The sequence below is a fragment of the Homo sapiens genome, chromosome 8 (assembly GCF_000001405.40).
Source record: "Homo sapiens chromosome 8, GRCh38.p14 Primary Assembly".
Lineage (NCBI taxonomy): Eukaryota > Metazoa > Chordata > Mammalia > Primates > Hominidae > Homo > Homo sapiens.
The window spans coordinates 93,754,642-93,774,328 of NC_000008.11; the positions used below are offsets into that span (position 1 = coordinate 93,754,642).

Genomic DNA, 19,687 nt, shown 5'->3' on the forward strand with positions numbered 1-19,687 from the left:
CTTACGATGGGTTTATTGCGGGGAGGGGGCAGCCCTATCGTAAGTAGAGGAACTCTATACACGTTTGAAAATATCGCTGGGCTCCAGGGTTAACCGGTCTCTAACCCATTCTTTACTGGACCTGCCAACTTCGCGCAGGGTTGGTAACCTAGCAACCAAGCAACACGAGCAGTGACTTCCGGTACCCGGACTTGGGTTGTCCAATCAGCTCAGCGAAGCCGCCGCAGAGGCTGATGGGGGGCTGGAGGCTGTGAGGCTTCCAGCGTCGGTACCATGGCGACGCGCGGTGGGGCTGGGGTGGCAATGGCGGTTTGGTCCCTCTTATCCGCCCGGGCCGTGACCGCGTTCCTTCTGTTGTTCCTCCCTCGCTTCTTACAGGCCCAGACCTTCTCTTTCCCTTTCCAGCAGCCGGAGAAGTGCGACAACAACCAGTACTTTGATATCTCCGCCCTCTCGTGTGTTCCTTGTGGAGCTAACCAGAGGCAAGATGCCCGAGGTAAGACGGTTTGCGGTGGGCCCTGGCAAAAGTAACACTCCCGCCTTGGTCGGCCCCTAGTCCCCGTAAATGGAGTTTCACCATGTTGATCAGGCTAGTCTCGAACTTCTGACCTCAGGTGATCCACCCGCCTCCGCCTCCCAAAGTGCTGGGATTACAGGCGTGAGCCACCGCGCCTGGCCCGAATACATGTATATTGTTTAGTGACGTAGAAATGTAAAATTTCCAGCAGCAGTTAAGTAGTTTAATAGTTTAGTTATACTTGCACTTAAAATGGTAGCAGCATAATACCAGCTGTGTGCCAGTGTAAGACCTCTACGTATAATAACTAATTTTGTACTCATACTAACCCTGTGAGGTAGGTACCAATTTTTTTTCTCCATTTTATTGTAGAGGAAGCCAAGGCAGAGAGTTTAGTAACTTGTTCAAGGTCATGCAACTGAGTAGGATTACTACGATTGGAACTCAAGAAGTGTATTTCTGGATTTGAACCCAGGCAGTACTGCCTCCAGAATCCTGCTGTTAATCACTATACTGCTTCTCAAGATCTTCAGACTTATTAAAAGTTTCACTATCTGGGAACTTTATTTTTATTTATCAAGGATAAAATTGGCTTTTTTTTTTTTTTTTTTTTTTTTAGGAACTTCATGTGTATGTCTACCAGGATTTCAGATGATCTCTAATAATGGAGGACCTGCTATTATTTGTAAAAAGTGCCCAGAAAACATGGTGCGCATAATTTATTTTAAAATAACTTACCTGTAAAAAGTAGTAAGTTAAATATCTTTATTTTTCAAAATATAATTTAATGTTTAATGTTTCCCCACAGACTTTAAAATTACTATGCTAATTTTATTTTTACTAGAGTAAGTTTTGGGAGATCAGCGAAATTTCATGCAAACTTGGAGAAAACAGAAATGTATTTCTTTTAAAATCTGAAATCCAAAAACCACAAAGCTGTAAAAATTTAAGTTTTTGTTTTTACTCGTAGAATAACTCGGTTATGAAGAAAATTAGATGAATAAGGCATATATAGAGCAGTCTGGGATGTGTGCAATTTGGGATGTGTATATTCTTTTGACTGATGCAAGTGGAGTTGTCTTAGACCTACCATGTCAACAGTTTATATGATTATTGATGTTCATAATGATATCTAAGGTGTAATTATTTCATGAAATACCAATTGCATTAATAGATTAAATAATGTCTGTTTCTGTTTTGTTAGTAATTTCATTGTATCGTAATTTAAAAAAAATTAGTAAATAGTTACTATATATAATTCTCAACATAAATATATTTTTCAATCATGTTGGATAATTAAAAGTCTGTGTAACAGTTGTGACATTTACAGTAATGTTTCTTCTCATTGTCATATAAAAAATATTAATTCTGGGAATTTAATGTGAAGTTATCAATTGTCCCAATTTATAGCTATCTGTATTACTTGTAAGTCTGATTACCACTTTTTATATTACCATTTATTTTATATCTTTATAATAGATTATAATAGATTACCATTTATTTTATATCTTTGCAAATATTGATCCTAGCTGAATTACCCATGATAAAAAGCTGCTAATAAAAAGTGGTCTCGCAGCAGATTTCTTTTTCAGTGACATTGTTTAAGTTATTGTAATTTTTAAATTGTCCTGTATAGGCCAGGCACAGTGGCTCATGCCTGTAATCCCAGCAGTTTGGGAGGCTGAGCCTGGTGGATCATGAGCTCAGGAGTTTGAGACCAGCCTGGCCAATATGGTGAAACCCCATCTCTACTAAAAATACAAAAATGAGCTGGCTGTGGTGGCGCGTGCCTGTAGTCCCAGCTGCTTGGGAGGCTGAGGCAAGAGAATCGCTTGAACTCAGGAGGCAGAGGTTGCAGTAAGCCAAGATTGCACCATTGCACTCCAGCCTGGGTGACAGAGCGAGACTCTGTCTCAAAAAAATAAATAAAATATAAATAAATAAATAAATAAATAAATAAATAAATAAATAAATTGTCCTGTATAAATGTATTGCCAAATATAGGAGTATTTCTTGATAAATTCAGTCTTTTCAACCAAAATTTAAAATAATTTGTGGCATTATTTTTGTTCTTTATAAACTTTGGTTACATCTGTGTTTGTAATTATTGTGTTTTTTGCCCCAGGCTTTTCCTAAACCATATGATATAATAAGCCCAATTTTGAATGCTGTCATACTTTATCAAAAACCTTTACTAGGCCGGGCGCGGTGGCTCACGCCTGTAATCCCAGCACTTTGGGAGGCTGAGGCAGGTGGATCACGAGGTCAAGAGATCAAGACCATCCTGGCAAATGTGGTGAAACCCCATCTCTACTAAAAATACAAAAATTAGCTGGACGTGGTGGCACGTGCCTGTAGTCCCAGCTACTCGGGAGGCTGAGGCAGGAGAATTGTTTGAACCTGGGAGGCAGAGCTTGCAGTGAGCCGAGATTGTGCCACTGCACTCCAGCCTGGCAACAGAGCAAAGACTCTGTCTCAAAAAAAAAAAAACCTTTACTAGTACAAGCCATAAATGGATAGAAGAAAATATTCTCATAAATCAATTTTAACAACTATGTGTATAATTTATATATTTCATAAAATTTACCCATTTTGAATCATAAATGAATTTTTTTTTTTTTTGAAAGAGAGTATTACTGTTGCTCAGGCTGGAGTGCAGTGGCACGATCTCAGCTCACTGCAACCTCCACCTTTCTGGTTCAAGCCATTCTGGTGCCTCAGCCTCCCAAGTAGGATTATAGGCATACACCACCACGCCCAGCTAATTTTTGTATTTTTAGTAGAGACGAGGTTTCACCACATTGGCCAGGCTGGCCTCAAGCTTTGGCCTCAAGTGATCCACCCACCTTGGCCTCCCAAAGTGCTGGAATTACAGACGTGAGCCACTGTGCCTGGACTAAATTTTTTAGGTATTTGAATTTTTAAAAATTAGAATAGAGTTTTAGAACAGGTAAGATTAACCTATTAACTGACCGTTGATTCAATCTTTTTGTGTTGTGTTGTGTTTTATATTTGTAAATGGAAAAACGAAATGACAAATAATTATGAAAGAGGCATCCATTTGAATTAAAGATCCTGAAGAAGAGAGAACTATTATCCGGAGTTAATCCTTTAATAGTTTTCAGGACATAGTGATAATATAGAGCTTCATTTTGGAATATAAGCATGAATTATCTCTCCAGGGAATTTTTATGTGGCTCATATATGTATGATTTATTTGAATATTCACTGTAGTTACATACTCTTATGGCATTTTGAACTTACATGATTAGAAGAAGAAAGTTAATTAAAAAAGAGAAAAGCATTTTTTTTCTTTTAATTTAGAAAGGTGTTACAGAAGATGGCTGGAACTGCATTTCTTGCCCTAGTGACTTAACTGCCGAAGGAAAATGTCACTGTCCCATTGGCCATATTTTAGGTAAGAATTAGATTCCTTATAAAGAAGTAGTGATAAATCTTCATTCTTGTTTTTGTTTTTATTTGAAAAGGGCACTAATTTAAATAGTTAAGTGATTACTTAATATTTTTGCAGTGGCTCAAGCAATTCTCCTGCCTCAGCTTCCTGAGTAGCTGGGACTGCACACATAACACCACTGCAGCTGGCTAATTTTTAAATTTTTTGTAGAGACTGGGTCTCGTTATGTTGCTCAGCCTGGTCTTGAACTCCTGGCCTCGAGAGATCTTCCTGCCTCAGCCTCCTAAAGTGCTGGGATTATAGGCATCAGTCACTGTGTCCAGCCCTTAATAGTGTTTATAAAAATTATTTTTGTACAAATTAATGATACTTAAAACATCAGCAGGCATTGAGAAGAAAATACAAAGTTTTGTCTGAGTTTTTTAAAACTCTTAATATTGTAGGATTAGATGGTTATTTCCTTAACATAACATGACAAAATATGTCTCAACTCAAAAGCCAACTTGATACTTAATAGGGAAAAAGCGTAAGCATTCCTGTTAATGTCAGGACCTGGAAAAGGATGCAAACTATGCACTTAAGTAAGAGAAAAAAAATATTTATCATTGGAAAAGAAAAGGTAGGCCGTTGTTAATCCTAGCACTTTGGAAGGCTAAGGCAGGTGTATTGCTTGAGCTCAAGAGTTTGAGACCAGTCTGGGCAACATGGTGAAACCGCATCTCTACAAATAAAAAAAAAAATTATTTGGTTACGGTGGCATGCACCTGTAGTCCCAGCTACTCGAGAGGCAAAGGTGGGAAGATCGCTTGAGCCTGGAAGGTCAAGGCTACAGTGAGCTGAGATGGCGCCACTGCACTCCAGCCTGAGCGACAGGGTAAGACCCTGTCTCATGAAAAAAAAAAAAAAAAAAAGTAAAATATCATTGTTTACAGATGATTTGATTGTATGTTTAAAACACCCAACAGAATGACTAAAAATTATTATAAACAGTGATGGAAGAAAATACCTCATATACAGTAGCAACAAAAAAGAAAAAATAAGTAGGCATATCCTTTTTTTTAATTTTAATTTTTATTTTTGTTTTTTTTTTTTTGAGACAGAGTTTTCACTGTTGTTGCCCAGGCTAGAGTGCAATGGTGTGATCTTGGCTCACTGCAACCTCCCTCTCAGGTTCAAGCGATTCTCCTGCCTCAGCCTCCCGAGTAGTTGGGATTATAGGCATGTGCCACCACACCTGGCTAATTTTATATTTTTAGTGGCTAACAGGGTTTCTCCATGTTGGTCAGGCTGGTCTTGAACTTCCGACCTCAGGTGATCTGCCTGCCTCAGCCTCCCAAAGTGCTGGGATACAGGCTTGAGCCACCGCACCTGACCTTGGCATGTACTTTAGAAGGAATGTACAACATAATTGAAGAAATTTGTGAGTATTACTGAGGGATATGAAGGCAGGCTTTTAAGTGAAAATGCATTCTTTATTTTTGGATGGGAAGATTAAATATTAGAAAGATGCAACTCTTCTACCAGTCTGTATATTTTAAAGGACCCTAATAAATTCTATCAGGATATTATTTGTTTGTTTTGGGGTAATATACAAATAGAGTCTGAAGTTTAACAGGAAAGTTATATGAAAAGCTAAGAAAATTCTGGGAAGGGAAAGAAGGAACTACCCCATCAGATAATATGCATGTTATATAGCTACTATAATCACATATATGACAGGCTTATGGATACACAGACTGATTGATGGAACTTAAAACAGGCAATCAGAATAGATTCAATTCATATAGGAATTTGGTATGTGAAAAAAGTGGCATTTCATATAAGTGGGGATAAAACTGATTAATGATGCTGGGAAAACTGAGAAAACACCCAGGTTGGGTTTCTACCTTATTTCTGAGAAAATTAAACTCCAAATGAGTCAAATACTAAATATGAATATATGAAAGTTCTTAAAGAAAATGCAGGAAAAATTTGTATAGTTTTGGTTTAACAGGCCTAAGTATGACCAAAAATACTCAGTCACTTTGGAGGCCTAGGTGGGACGATTACTTGAGCCATGGAGTTCCTGACCAGCCTGGGCAATATAGAGAGACTCTGTGTCTACAAAAAAAAAAGAAAAAAAGAAAAACCACAGAAGAAAAAATTGGTAAATTTATAAAATGCCATAAAAATTATAATACCAAAAACCAAACTACAAACTAAAGAAAAATATTAATGCATACAATAGACAGAGGTCGAAGTTCTTCAATAAATGTAAAGCTCCTACAGATAAATAAAAGTAAGATGAATAACCCAATTTTTAAAATAGCCAAGAGTCATAAATAAAGTTCACATAGAAAAAAATATTTTAACGTGAGAAAAAAATGTTCAACTTTACTCAGAGTAAGAAAATGTACGTTAAAGCTAAAATGAGATTTTATTTTTAACCTACCAGATTTTATTATAAAATTTTTTCGACCGGGCACAGTGGCTCACGCTTGTAATCCAGCACTTTGGGAGGCCGAGGCAGGTGGATCACCTGAGTTCAGGAGTTCAAGACCAGCCTGACGAATGTAGTCGCTATTAAAAACTCAAAATTAGCCTGGCATGGTGGCACATGCCTGTAATCCCAGTTTCTTGGAGGCTGAGGCAGGAGAATTGCTTGAACCCAAGGAGGTGGAGGTTACAGTGAGCCAAGATCACGCCATTGCACTCCAGCCTGGGCAACAAGAGTGAAACTCCATCTCAAAATAAAAAAGAAACTTTTTCAACTTTGACAATGTATTTATAAGGATACAGGGAAATAGTTATTCGTGTATTAATGGGAAAAATTTTAAGTTGGTGCAACCTCTGTGGAAAGCAAATTTATGGTGTTTATCAAAATTAAAAATACAGATTATCTTTGCCTGGAAAGCTCTCATCTAGAAATTTCTCATTTGGATACACTTAACTGTATGCCTGAAGAAGTGTTGAATGTTTTTTTCTTGCAACATTATTCCTAAGACAAAAGATTATAAACAAAATAAGATTCTATCAAGATGAGATCAATCAATTAAATTATGATATAGTCATACAATGGTATAGAATGCAATTGTGGAAAAATAAAGAGGCAGTTCTACACATAGTGCTATGGAAAGAAATCTAAGATATATTGAGTAAAAAAGCAAGATTTGGAATAATTTATTCATTCATCTACAAATGTTTATTGAGTACCTGCTATTTATCAGCACTATTTTATGTACTTGGTATTCCACTATTTAGCTTTTTAAAGACCATTATATATGCATATGTGCTTGTATATGCACAGGTTATTTCTGAAAAGACTCATAAGAAACTGTTAACAATGCTGCCTCCTGAGTGAAGAACTGAGTGCCTGGGAATAGTGGGAAAGAGACTTAATTTTCATTTTAAATCTTTTTTTGCTTGGTGCAGTGTTTCACGCCTGTAATCGCAGCACTTTGGGAAGCCGAGGTGGGTGGATCACCTGAGGTTAGAAGTTCAAAACCACCCTGGCCAACATGGTGAAACCCTGTCTCTACTAAAAATAGAAAAATTAGCTGGGCATGGTGGCAGGTGCCTGTAGTCCCAGCTACTTGGGACACTGAGGCAGGAGAATCACTTGAATCTGGGAAGTGGAGGTTACAGTGAGTGAGATCACGCCACTGTGCTCCAGCCTGGATGACAAGAGCGAAACTCTCTCAAAAAATAAAATAAAATAAATCCTTTTGTGCCTTTTATTTTTATATTTCATATATTACCCAAAGATTAATTTTTTAATTATCTTTACCTTTTTTTTTTTTTACTTTTTAACAATTTTTTTTTTTGTGGTGATGGGGGTCTTACTATATATCTCAAGCTGGTCTTGAACTCCTGACCTCAAGCAGTCCTCCTGCCTTGACCTCTCAATGTGTTGGGATTACAGGTGTGAGCCACCATGCCTGGTCTTATTTTTTCAGAGACGTGGTCTTGTTATGTTACCCAGGCTGGATTCAAACTCCTGGGCTTAAGCAATCTACTGCACCCAGCTTCTTAGTAGTTTCATTGGCACTGTTGCCTCCATTGAAAATATTAACTTGATTCTCACGGTATTTGGGGGGTGTATTCTTAGGGATGGGACTAATGAAAGTTTTATGAGTTGGATGGCAATATGAAATTTATTACACTTCATGATGTACTAATTTTGGTGTGTGTGTCTCTGTGTGTGCACATTCAGAATTTTTTTTCCCTGTTTTATTATAAGGATCTACACTATATAGCCACAGGAAACATAAGTGGTATGTTTGCATAAATGTTTCATACACAAATATTGTTCTAGCATACTTTTTTCAGTTAACGGTATGCTCTGATGCTCTGTTAGATTTACCTGATTCTTTTTGTTTGTTTGTTTTTTGAAACAGGGTCTCACTCTTGCCCAGGCTGGAGTGTAGTGGTGTGATCTCAGCTCACTGCAACCTCCACCTACCAGGTTCAAGTGATTCTCATGCCTCAGACACTTGAGTAGCTGGGATTACAGGCACGTGCCACCACACCCAGCTAATTTTGTATTTTTTTTTTTTTAGTAGAGACAAGGTTTTGCCATATTGGCCAGGCTGGTCTTGAACTCCTGGCCTCATGTGATCCACCCACCTTAGCCTCCCAAAGGGCTGGGATTACAGGCATAAGCCTCCTCACCTGGCCTTACCTGATTCTTTTTAATATATTCCATAGTATTTTGTAGCATGGATATACCATCATTCTGCTATTTTAAATATTCGTGTTGTTTCTAACAAATAATGCCTCAGTGAATATCCTTATATACATGTTCAAGTGTTTCTGTAAGTTAGGTATCTAAAAACAAAATTGTGGTGTTATAAGGATGTGAATTTGAAACTTTAATAGATACTACTAAAAGCCTTCTAAGTTGCAGAAACTTATCAGTAATCTATGAAAATACTTGCTTCCCCATCCTAGTGTGACAGAAATGTATAGATAAGAGGTAAGAAAATTTTTGAGGAAAAAAATACTGACTTAATTGTTACGATGACTTGGAAAATGATTTTCTATATTTTACTATGTGAGAATAGGGAAGGCATCACTTCTCTTTTTTTTTGGAGGCATGGACGGGTACGAAGGGATCACTTCTCTACACTTTATTATGGAGATACTTGTTATGCCTTTAATGCAAATAAAGTGTTTTGAGAATTAATAGAATAATAGTTACAATTGGGTTTTGTTAAATATTTTCTGAATATGTAGAAGCTTATATGTTTACTATGAGTTACATCTTTATTTTGTTTCTAAACTGTTCAGTGGAAAGAGACATTAATGGAACATTGTTGTCTCAAGCAACTTGTGAGCTCTGTGATGGAAATGAAAACTCTTTTATGGTAGTAAATGCTTTAGGAGACAGGTAAGCAGTGTGATGGGGGCTAACTTCATTAATATCATCTTATATTAGTGTATAATTTGTACTTTTAAGAGTGTTTTCCTATCATATCACTTAGTTTTCACAATAACCCAAGGAAGGATAGAAGTAGACATTAACAGATACAGAAGCTGAGGCCCAGAGCGTGAGACACACTAGGGTTCAAATTTTGGTCCAGTCTGTTAGTTGTCTGACCTTGGATAGCTCACTACTTCACAATCCCTTGTCTTTAGAATGGTAATGTTACCACCCACTTCATAGGCTGTAATGGCTCAGAAATAATAAGTAATAAAGTAAATAGATACAGTTCTTAGTATAGTGCTACATAGTAACCACTCTGTACAGGGTAGCTATTTTTGTTTGTTGTTACATAATTTGTATATAATCTGTAATATAATTATGTGCTAAGTACTGTACTAAAGCCCTTATGTATTATAATGTTACATAGAAAAACATAAATGTATGCTAATAATAGCCCAGGTACCCTGATTTATAGTCCCATTTTCTGTTGCTTCCTGTTCCCCCTTTGTGCATGTATTTGTGAAACACACACACACACACACACACACCCCTGCCTGCCTATATACTTCCCTCTAATTTAAGCACATTATACCAATTTCAGCATCTTTAATTTATTAGAGGCCTACATCATGACTTCCCTCCGGGCACAGTTTTTTCTTTAGTTTCCAAGTTTAATATGGAAAATAGTTGAGCAGCTTTTCTGAGGGCTACTTAGTGTTGGATCATCTTTTCTCTAAGGCTGACCTGAGTTATGGCATCCAAATACCAATTTTTTTTGCCCAATATTTCCCCAAGCCTAGTGTGTTTTATGTCATGCCCCAGCCCGACTCCTACCTGCTCTATTTTGCAAGTGATGAATACCCATATATTCACTCATCACTGTCCTCATTGGACCAGTACCCTCCCTCCCTCTGTCTCATTCATTAATGAAAAATATGAAGTATTTTTCTAAAATAAACAAAGATGGTAAATAGAATTTATTTAAAAGTGTTGGCTGTAGGTTTGATAGGAGCTAGAGATACATTTCTCTTCGGGTTATGCTACCTTTTTACTTTGTGGCACATAAAATAAGGAAAGTATATTTGATATAACTAATTGTAAAAATTGGGTTTCATTTATATGAGTTTGTTGCTCTCTTGTTAGTTGAGTGACTTAATTATCTTTCATACTCAGAATTATTCATTATGTACATTCCATGTAGTTAAAAAATACTCTTCTATTATTGATTAGTTTTACTTACTTTATACTTTGTAACACAGAATGGCCTAAAACTATTCAAATCAGTGTTATTTTAAATTTGTTTAACATATTTACATAATTGCTTACTGAATGAATCTACTCTAATCCATTGTTTAGAAAGACAGCTTTTCTATTAGGTTTAGTATAATTTATTAACATTTTTAAAATTATTTTTGTTATATTGAACAGGTGCGTCCGATGTGAGCCAACATTTGTTAATACCAGCAGGTCCTGTGCATGTTCAGAACCTAACATTTTAGTAAGGCTAACCAAATTGATAAAGTATATATATTTTTAATTCAGTTGCTTATGCCTTTTCATAAGCTTCTATTTTTTCCCTCATTTATTTATGAAGACAGGGGGATTATGTTTCAGCAGCACAGGGAATTTTCCTCTACGTAGAATTTCAGCTGCACGTTATGGAGAAGTTGTGAGTATGTTTCAATTTTTTTGTTCTGTTGTTAAAAAACTTTCTACATTTCATCCATTAGTAATTTCAGGCTAGAATGAGAAACCCTTTTGTGTAAATCATTTTAAAACAGAAAAAAATCAATCTAAGAAACATTAGTCTAATAATTCAGCAGTATAATTTCTAAGTACAGTACTCAGTCTGTACCGTAGCCTGTTTGTTTTTCAGTGCGCTACAGAATGTTTACACCAGAAATATCTGGTATATGTTCTGTATAGGATGCAGTATAATACATTTAAGGGCACCAGAAACGCTAGATTTGAACCCTGGATTTGCAAGTCATTAGTTTGGTATCCTTGGACCTTGAGAAGATTTCAAAACTTCATTTTATTGTCTGTAAGTTGGACATAATAAAAATACCTTTACCACAGTGCCTGTACATGGTAATCATTAGAGAAATCAGGATTATTCTTATTTGGCCAGATTTTTCCTTTTTTTTTTATTTTATTTTTGTTTGAGATGGAGTCTCGCTCTGTTGCCCAGGCTGGAGTGCTGTGGTGCAGTCTCGGCTCACTGCAACCTCCGCCTCCCAGGTTCAAGCGATTCTCCTGCCTCAGCGAGTAGCTGGGATTACAGGCACCTGCCACTACGCCCGGCTAATTTTTTGTATTTTCAGTAGAGATGGGATTTCACTGTGTTGGCCAGGCTGGTCTTGAACTCCTGACCTTGTGACCCACCCACGTTGGCCTCCCAAAGTGCTGGGATTACATGCATGAGCCACTGCGCCCAGCCAGTTGTTTCTTATTTTGTGGATGAGAGCATTGAGGCCTAGAGTTAGAGCTTTGGCAGCAGATGCTGGTGATAACCACTTCTAGGGTATAAAATGGAAAGTAAGTAGATGAATTGGAACTAAAGAGGTAACAAATCCAAGAGAATAAGAGTTAGATGACTAGGAGTTACAATAGGAATTACTGAATGAACATTGAAGATGCTTAGTATGCCAGAGTTTGGGGTGGACAGGGTGTGATCTAGTTGTTAATATCATTATTGTTAATATTATTATTGAATATAAGAGTGATTAAGAGGACTGTGAGGATAGCAATGATGAGGGTGGGATCTAGGATCTTGATGAATGAGGCAAAAATTCCTCTACTCAGTATAGTCTTGTGAGGAAGACAGGCAAGTACCAAGTAGTTACCAGACAACAAAATAAAAGCTAAAATACATAGGTAGCTCTGGGATTATCCCAAAATTGGCTCATCTGTAACAAGATACATGTCTTCTGGGGCATTCTTCTCCAGATTGGAGTGAATATCTGTATATGATTATTAAATTTGCAGGCCTTTAATTTTCCTTTTTTCCTTTTTCAAATAATTTAAGTTGAAATAATTTTGCTGAAAGTCCCAACAATGACTCTTTGTTCTTTCTGGTCTGAGATCCCCAATCATTTAATGGTCATGTCCCTTTAGCTTCCTCCGATCTGGAACTAGGTCCTCAGTGTTTTCCTGTCTTTCATGAATGCAACAGTTTTGAATATTACAGGCCTTACCATCCTACAGATACTTTCCTCACACTTTGTACCTGCTTAGATGAAAGCCACAAAAAAGATGTCATGTTCTTTTCAGTGGACTGCATCACATCCAGGGGCACACAGTGTCTACCTGTGCCACCACTGATGCTGTTAACCTTGATCACCTGCTTTAAAGTCACCATGACTACCATAAAGTTACCATTTTCCATTTGTAATTGATTAGTATTTTGTGAGGAGTATTTCTGAGATTACACTTCCTCACTAACCCTTAACTCACTAGCATTAGTCTCCATTGTTGAACCACTACTGTGATGGTTGCCAAAGGTTAATTTTGGATTTCCATCCACATTTGATTACTTCCATATTTATTAATTGACATTCTATTGTAAGGAAGAACTATCTCTTCTTCCCCATTCATACACTTATTTTTTAAAATTAATGTCCATGTGGATTTGTGGGTTCCTAATTTATTCAGTTAGTTATAATCCAGCATACTCATTATTTGTTTTGATGCTCAAATTGTCCTATATCTGGCCAATAAAAGTCCCTTCAAGTTGGCTTCTGCGTGATTTTTTTTTTTTTTTTGACATGTCCCCATCATTCTTTGAACATTTGCTTACTTTATGGTACAACAAGATTTCTAGGCTAATCTAGGCTAATCTTGTAATTTTCCTGCCTCAGCCCTGGAATCAGCCATTTCTTTTTTCTTTTTTTTTTTTTTTTTTTGAGACGGAGTTTCACTCTTGTTGCCCAGGCTGGAGTGCAATGGCGCAATCTTAGCTCACCGCAACCTCCACCTCCCGGGTTCAAGTGGTTTCCCTGCCTCCGCCTCCCAAGTAGCTGGGATTACAGGCATGCACCACCACACCTGGCTAATTTTTGTATTTTTAGTAGAGACAGAGTTTCTCCATATTGGTCAGGCTGGTCTCGAACTCCCCACCTCAAATGATCTACCCGCCTAAGCCTCCCAAAGTGCTGGGATTACAGGCATGAGCCACCACACCCGACTGGAGTCAGCCATTTCTTTAATCAGTTTTGTAGGATAAATATTTAGAAACCAAGATTAACACACTTAGTATGTCCTCTCACCAAACGTAGCTAGGAAATATACACATACATACATACACACACACATCTATGACTATTTCTGTGTCTGTGTATATATATTAAAAGGGCTGGGCGTGGTGGCTCACACCTGTAATCACAGCACTTTGGGAGGCCGAGGCAGGTGGATCACTTGAGGTCAGGAGTTTGAGACCAGTCTGGCCAATATGGTAAAACCTCATCTCCACTAAAAATACAAAAATTGTCTGGGTGTGGTGGTGCCCTCTGTAACCCAGCTTCTCAAGAGGCTAAGACGGGAGAATCACTCGAACCTGGTAGGTGGAGGTTGCAGTGAGCCAAGATCGCGCCACTGCACTCCAGCCTGGGCAACAGAACAAGACTCTGTCTCAAAAAAATAAAATAAAATAAAATAGCTCATACTGATCCCTTTAATTCTTAAGCAATACTTCAGGGTTCTTTCTAACCTTTCCCTTTGATAAGTTTTAAGTATCTTCTCCAGGGGTGAGGAATCTGGGGTTCATTATCCTCAATTTATTTATATGCTCAATGTGACCAATCTTCCAACCCCCTCACTTTCTATTCCACCTCCACATTCTCCCTCCTCTGCTAGCACCATGCAGTTGACCCATTATAGACTTCTTTGATAGGTGGGTAGGGAGGAACTGTTCCATCCTTAATGTTCTGATTCAGTTAATGTATTTCATTTAAACATACCAGATTTTTTTAAAATTAAAAATAATAAAACTAAATTAAAAAAAAAACAAAACCACCTCGACCCTTCCCAAAACTTTCCTGGTCCCACACGCAGACACTGCAACCGTGACCAGAGGATGGGGCACTGGGAACAGGAACGACACCACTGCCCAGCCTGGGGCACCTGAGGGACAACCTGGAACACTCCAGGAGCACTGCAAAGGTCTAGCAGAACCAACACTGGCGCGGGCAGGGAAGGGCAGCCTGATGGGCTCGTGGGGCAGCTCCCACCACCTTGAAGAAGGGCTGCCTGCAAGGCAACGGCCATAGGAGGCGAGCAAGGGGTACCTGCTGCCTCAGAGGACCCCCCAGTCCTGCCGATGCCATGAGGCAGAGGGTGGAGGAAGCGAGGTCAGCCGGATTCCATATCCCTGCATCCCACATACTGCCCAAGGGCAGGGAGGAGAGGCGAGGGGCCCATAGGAATGAGAAGAGCGGTTCCATTTGCCATGAATGTCTGTCCCTCATCTGTCGCGGCTCAGACCTGGCCAGGGAGAGCATGACATCACCACAGCAATTGTGTGCTAAACATACCAGTTCTGAACACTGATTCTTTCCTAAGGACAGATTTGGAATTCCTGATTTAAAGTCATGTTGCAACTGCTTTTCAGACTGGTTCCGTGTAGCCAGTGTATAAAACGTGTAAGCAAAATCTAGTTAAGATGGTTTGACTACCCTTGCCTAGTCTCAGTTTGCAAGAATAAGAACTCAGTTTTATCCATGTACTTGTAAGTCAGTCAGATTCTAAGGGCTTGTTTAAAGTAATTAAACTTAGACGAGATTAGATTAATTGATAAACCAGAATACATGTTTATTAGTTTATGTTGAGACTGTAATTGCCAATTAGACTGAAATATTTGTATTGACTCCATAACATACATTCTTCCTAATTGGAAAAGTCTACTTTGAACGTTAAGGTTGGAAGTTTTCTTAGAGAACAAAATTGGTACATAATTTTGTTTGTATAATTTTATAACAAGGCATCCAATCCTACTCATCCTACTCTTGGAATATACTTGCCAATCAGAAAAAAATTTTCACATACATGAGTTAGTGTCTCCCCATTCCCTTTCCCTCAAATACATTAATAGTGAAATAGCTTCATGGTTTTTGGTTTTCCCAACTTTTATTTTGAAAAATTTCAAAATTGCAGAAAAGCTGAAAGAATTAGACAATGACTATGCCTATGTCTTTCACCTGGTTTAAAGAATTATTAATGTTTTGCCACATTTGCTTTATCTCTCTGTATATATGTAAATATATACGCAAACACAATGTTTTTTTCCCCCTGAGCCATTTGAAAATAAGTTGTAGACATAATGACATTGCACTCCAAATACTTTAGGGTGGATCTCCAAAGAATAAGGCATTTTCCTAGAATCACACCCAAGGAATTTAAAATTAACATAATAGAATTAACTGATATCCATTCATACCCAAATTTTCCCAGTTGTTCAAAAATGTTCTTTATTCTCCCTTCCTTTTTTGGGGGAAGGGATACCTAGGATCCAATCAAGGATCTCACACTGCAGTTAGTCTTTCTAGTGTCCTTTAATCTAGAACATATCCCTGCTTCACTTTGCTTTTGTGGTTTTTCCCCTCTGTATTTTTCTGATTGTTTTCTCATGATTAGACTCAGTGAAACATATTTTCGCAAGATATTATATAGATGTTGTATACAGCTCATTGCATCACAACAAGAGGTATGTAATGTCTGTCAGGTTGTCCAGTTATTGGTGATAGTAAATTTGATTGCTAGGCTGGACGCGGTGGCTCACTCCTTTAATCCCAGCACTTTGGGAGGCTGAGGCATGTAGATCACCTGAGGTCAGAAGTTCAAGACCAGCCTGGCCAACATGGTGAAACCCCATCTCTACTGAAAATACAAAAATTAGCTGGGCGTGGCGGCAGGCTCCTGTAACCCCAGCTACTCAGGAGGCTGAGGCAGGAGAATCGCTTGAACCCAGGAGACAGAGGTTGCAGTGAGCCAAGATCGCGCCATTGCACTCCATCCTGGGCAACAAGCGAAATTCCGTCTCAAAAAAAAAAAAAAATATTGATTTCTTGGTCATAGTTGTGTCTGCCACTTCTCTCCATTGTAAAGGTACTGTGATTAATACGTTAGTCTGAGACTATGTAAATATCCATTTTAGCAATTAATGAATCTTGCCTGTATCAGTTACTAAACTGGTCACTTCTAATAACAATTCTATTATTCCCTCTAGATTTATTAGCTAGCAATTTTCTGTAGAAGCACTTTACTTTTTCTCTGTGCTTTTTTTTTTTTAAAAAAAAGCTTTATTATGAACTGTAGAATCTTTGTTTACTCATTGTGTTATAATCTGTTAACTTTTTTTATTCTTCTTTTCGAAGTTCAAGTTGTACCAAATTTGAACTTCCTTTCAGCATAGCTCCTGTGTTGTTTTGACGTGACTTTAGACTTTAGGGATTTCTTTGGTTTCTCTATACCATGTTCCAGACTCACCTTGTATAATTATATTTTTAATAGTTCCATAATATTCTGGCTTATGCACTAAAATTTGTATAATGGTATCTCCAGAGAATATTTAGGTTTTCAGTTATTAACTATATTGCTGTCAACCATAAATATGTTTTCCCATTTAGAGGGATTATTGCTTTAAGATAAATTTCCTAAGTGTTCCTAAATTTCTGGGTTAGAGTATATGGATATTGCTTTATAAAAGTATCATGTAACTTTCACACTATCAGTGGCATTGTATGTGGCTCCATTTTACATGCATTTGTCAGTACTGTTGTGTTGCATTTCATTTTTTACCAGTTTGTGTGCATGTGTTCCTCAGCCTTCTATGCATATTTTTTCTTACAAAATAATTTTTGCTTATTAAATATACACAAATAGTACCTCATAGTTTTATTATAGATTTCTCTGATCACTGTGGTGCCATGTTCATATAATTTAGTTATATCACTTACGTGTGTGCCCAGACGATTTTCTCTGAATGGTGCTTCTTAGTTTCTCATATTTTAGCAAGATGTACAGATAAGCTTTAAAGTAATGTTTTTTAGCCAGAGGTTTGTTATCTGTAGCCTTCAAAACCGATGTAATTGCCTTGGTCTCATCTGGAGATACTGATTCGTTTTTGTTTGGGATGAAGCCAGGCATTTTTTGTTTTTAGAAAGTTCTGCAGGTGATTGTGATGTCCACCATTGTTTGAGAACCACCACTTTGGAGATTTGAAATTATTTCCCCCCAATTTTTTTTATTGCTTGCCAATTTGGTACAGTATTTATAATAATTATAAACCAGTAAATATTAACCACTCAATACTAAGTCAGGATCTGTTATTTTTTCTTTTGTTTGCCACTTTATTTTTTATGTTAGTGAAATAGGCATGTAGTATTTTTTGATTACAGACACATTTTGTCTCGTTATATCTTTTGCCTAAGTGTGATTATTTTGTAATGCGGTCCTATTTATAATAACTGACATTGGTTAAAATCAATTCTTGTATTCCTATTAGTAACTGTTTTTCTACTAACATTGTGAAAGTAATGTGAGACATTTCCCATTCAACAATATGCATATTGGAGTCATTTGAACTTAAAAATAAAATGTATCTTTTTGTTTACAGGGCATGTCTTTAACTTCAGAATGGTTTGCAAAGTATTTGCAATCATCAGCAGCTGCATGTTGGGTAAGTTTGAATTTTTTAAATAAATTTCATTTTATTTTGAAGAATTATACCATTTATTTACCCAGATAATAAAAGTTTTATTTCTAAGTAGCTATAGCTTCTTGGTCATAATCTTATAAGAAGAATAAACTCTTTCTTGTGGGCTGAAAGAGAATACATGAAGAAGATGTTATTTAGTATACACAAATTGAATGTCTCCAAGCTTTTTTAGCTGAAACGGAGTGTTAGGGGAAACTGACTGTCACTTAGTAAATGTTTATTGATGACCTACTGTGTGCCGGGCCCAATTCTTAAATCAGGTTAGATATTTCAGAAAAAGAAAAAAACAGTCCTTCATGGAGTTACAGCCTAAGTAAATGTCAGGTTGTGCTAAGTGCTATGAAGGCAAATAGTTAAGAGTAAAGTACATAGATGGGGTGGGGGGTGCTATTTTATATAGTGATCAGGACAGACATCTCTGAGAGGGTTATAGTTGAGCAAAGAACTGAAAAAAGTGAGAGTGAGCCATGTAAACATCAAGGAGAAGAGTGTTCTAAGCAGAAACCATAGCAGGAGCAAAGATCTCAAAGCAGTTTACTGGCTTATTCATGCTTAAGAGAGAAGGAGGAGGCTGGAGTGGCTGGAGCAGAGTGAGCAGGGAAAGTGGAGTGGAGATGAGGTCAGGGATGTAGGGAGTGGCTATGGCAAGGCCCTGGAGCTTATTTTAAGGGAGATAGGAGGATTTCATGCAAAGGAAGACATGATAGAACTTCAGTTCTTGAAAGGATCATTGTAGCATGGAGAATAGAATTTGTTGGGGTAAGGGACCATTTAGGAGAGTATTACAGTAATCTGAGTGAGAGATAGTGGACCATTGCACAAGGGTGGTCCTGCAGAAATGAGAGAAGCATTTACCTTCAGCTATGCTTTGAAGATTTAGCTGACAGAATTTACTCATGAGCTGGATAAGGGGCAAGAGAGAAAAAAAGTTCAAAGTTTTTCACATGAATAACTGTAAAAATGGAATTGCCTTTTCCTAATAGGGAAAACTGAGAAAGATGGTTGACAGGCAAACTCAACAAATGATCTCATTTTGTTGTTTATAAAGCAGATTACTTAAACAAAATGGATTAGATTTTATGTGTAAGATCTAACATACAAATTATTGTTCTTTCAAAAATAGTCTAGTAGGTTTTTTAATGTCATGCTATGAGTTTTTCCTTAGTTCTTCTTTCAGTTTCTTGTCTTTATATTTTAACCTAAAATTTACAATTAAAATGTTTGTGTTATTTCTCTTCCCAAGTGGAAAGTTTATTTTCTCCTTAAGCTAGAGGGAAGGTTTTAACAAGCAAAAGAATAATAAAAAAAATTATTAGTAAAATAGGTTAAAAAAAATTTTTTTTTTTTTGAGACGGAGCCTCACCCTGTTGCACAGGCTGGAGTGCACAATCTCGACTCACTGCAACCTCCGCCTCCTGGGCTCAAGAGATCCTCCTGCCTCAGCCTCCTGGGTAGCTAGGACTACAGGGGCATGCCACCACACTCAGCTAATTTTTCTATTTTTAGTAGAGACAGGGTTTCACCACATAGGACAGGCTGCTCTCAAACTCCTGACCTCAAGTGATCTGCCTGCCTTGACCTCGCAAAGTGCTGGGATTACAGGCGTGAGCCACCATGCCCGGCTTAGAATAGGCAAAA

General features: G+C 37.5%; 1 protein-coding gene across 14 annotated transcripts in view; it reads left to right on the forward strand.

The window, feature by feature from the left end:
• Positions 203–19,687, forward strand: part of TMEM67 (transmembrane protein 67) — a 77,810-nt gene continuing 58,325 nt past the window's right edge. For 9 of the 14 annotated variants that reach the window (XR_001745619.3, XR_007060761.1, XR_007060762.1 and 6 more), the window contains exons 1-7: positions 253–496; positions 1,137–1,225; positions 3,842–3,935; positions 9,201–9,300; positions 10,765–10,834; positions 10,931–11,005; positions 17,948–18,010. Coding sequence is in view for 6 of the 14 variants with exons in the window: in NM_153704.6 (NP_714915.3) it covers positions 274–496; positions 1,137–1,225; positions 3,842–3,935; positions 9,201–9,300; positions 10,765–10,834; positions 10,931–11,005; positions 17,948–18,010 (714 nt within the window). In the remaining 8 variants the exon portion in view is untranslated. Of the gene's footprint in view, positions 497–1,136; positions 1,226–3,841; positions 3,936–5,218; positions 5,353–9,200; positions 9,301–10,764; positions 10,835–10,930; positions 11,006–17,947; positions 18,011–19,687 lie in introns of those variants that run through there. The other 5 variants (NM_001142301.1, XM_006716686.5, XM_011517363.4 and 2 more) reach the window with 5 other exon arrangements.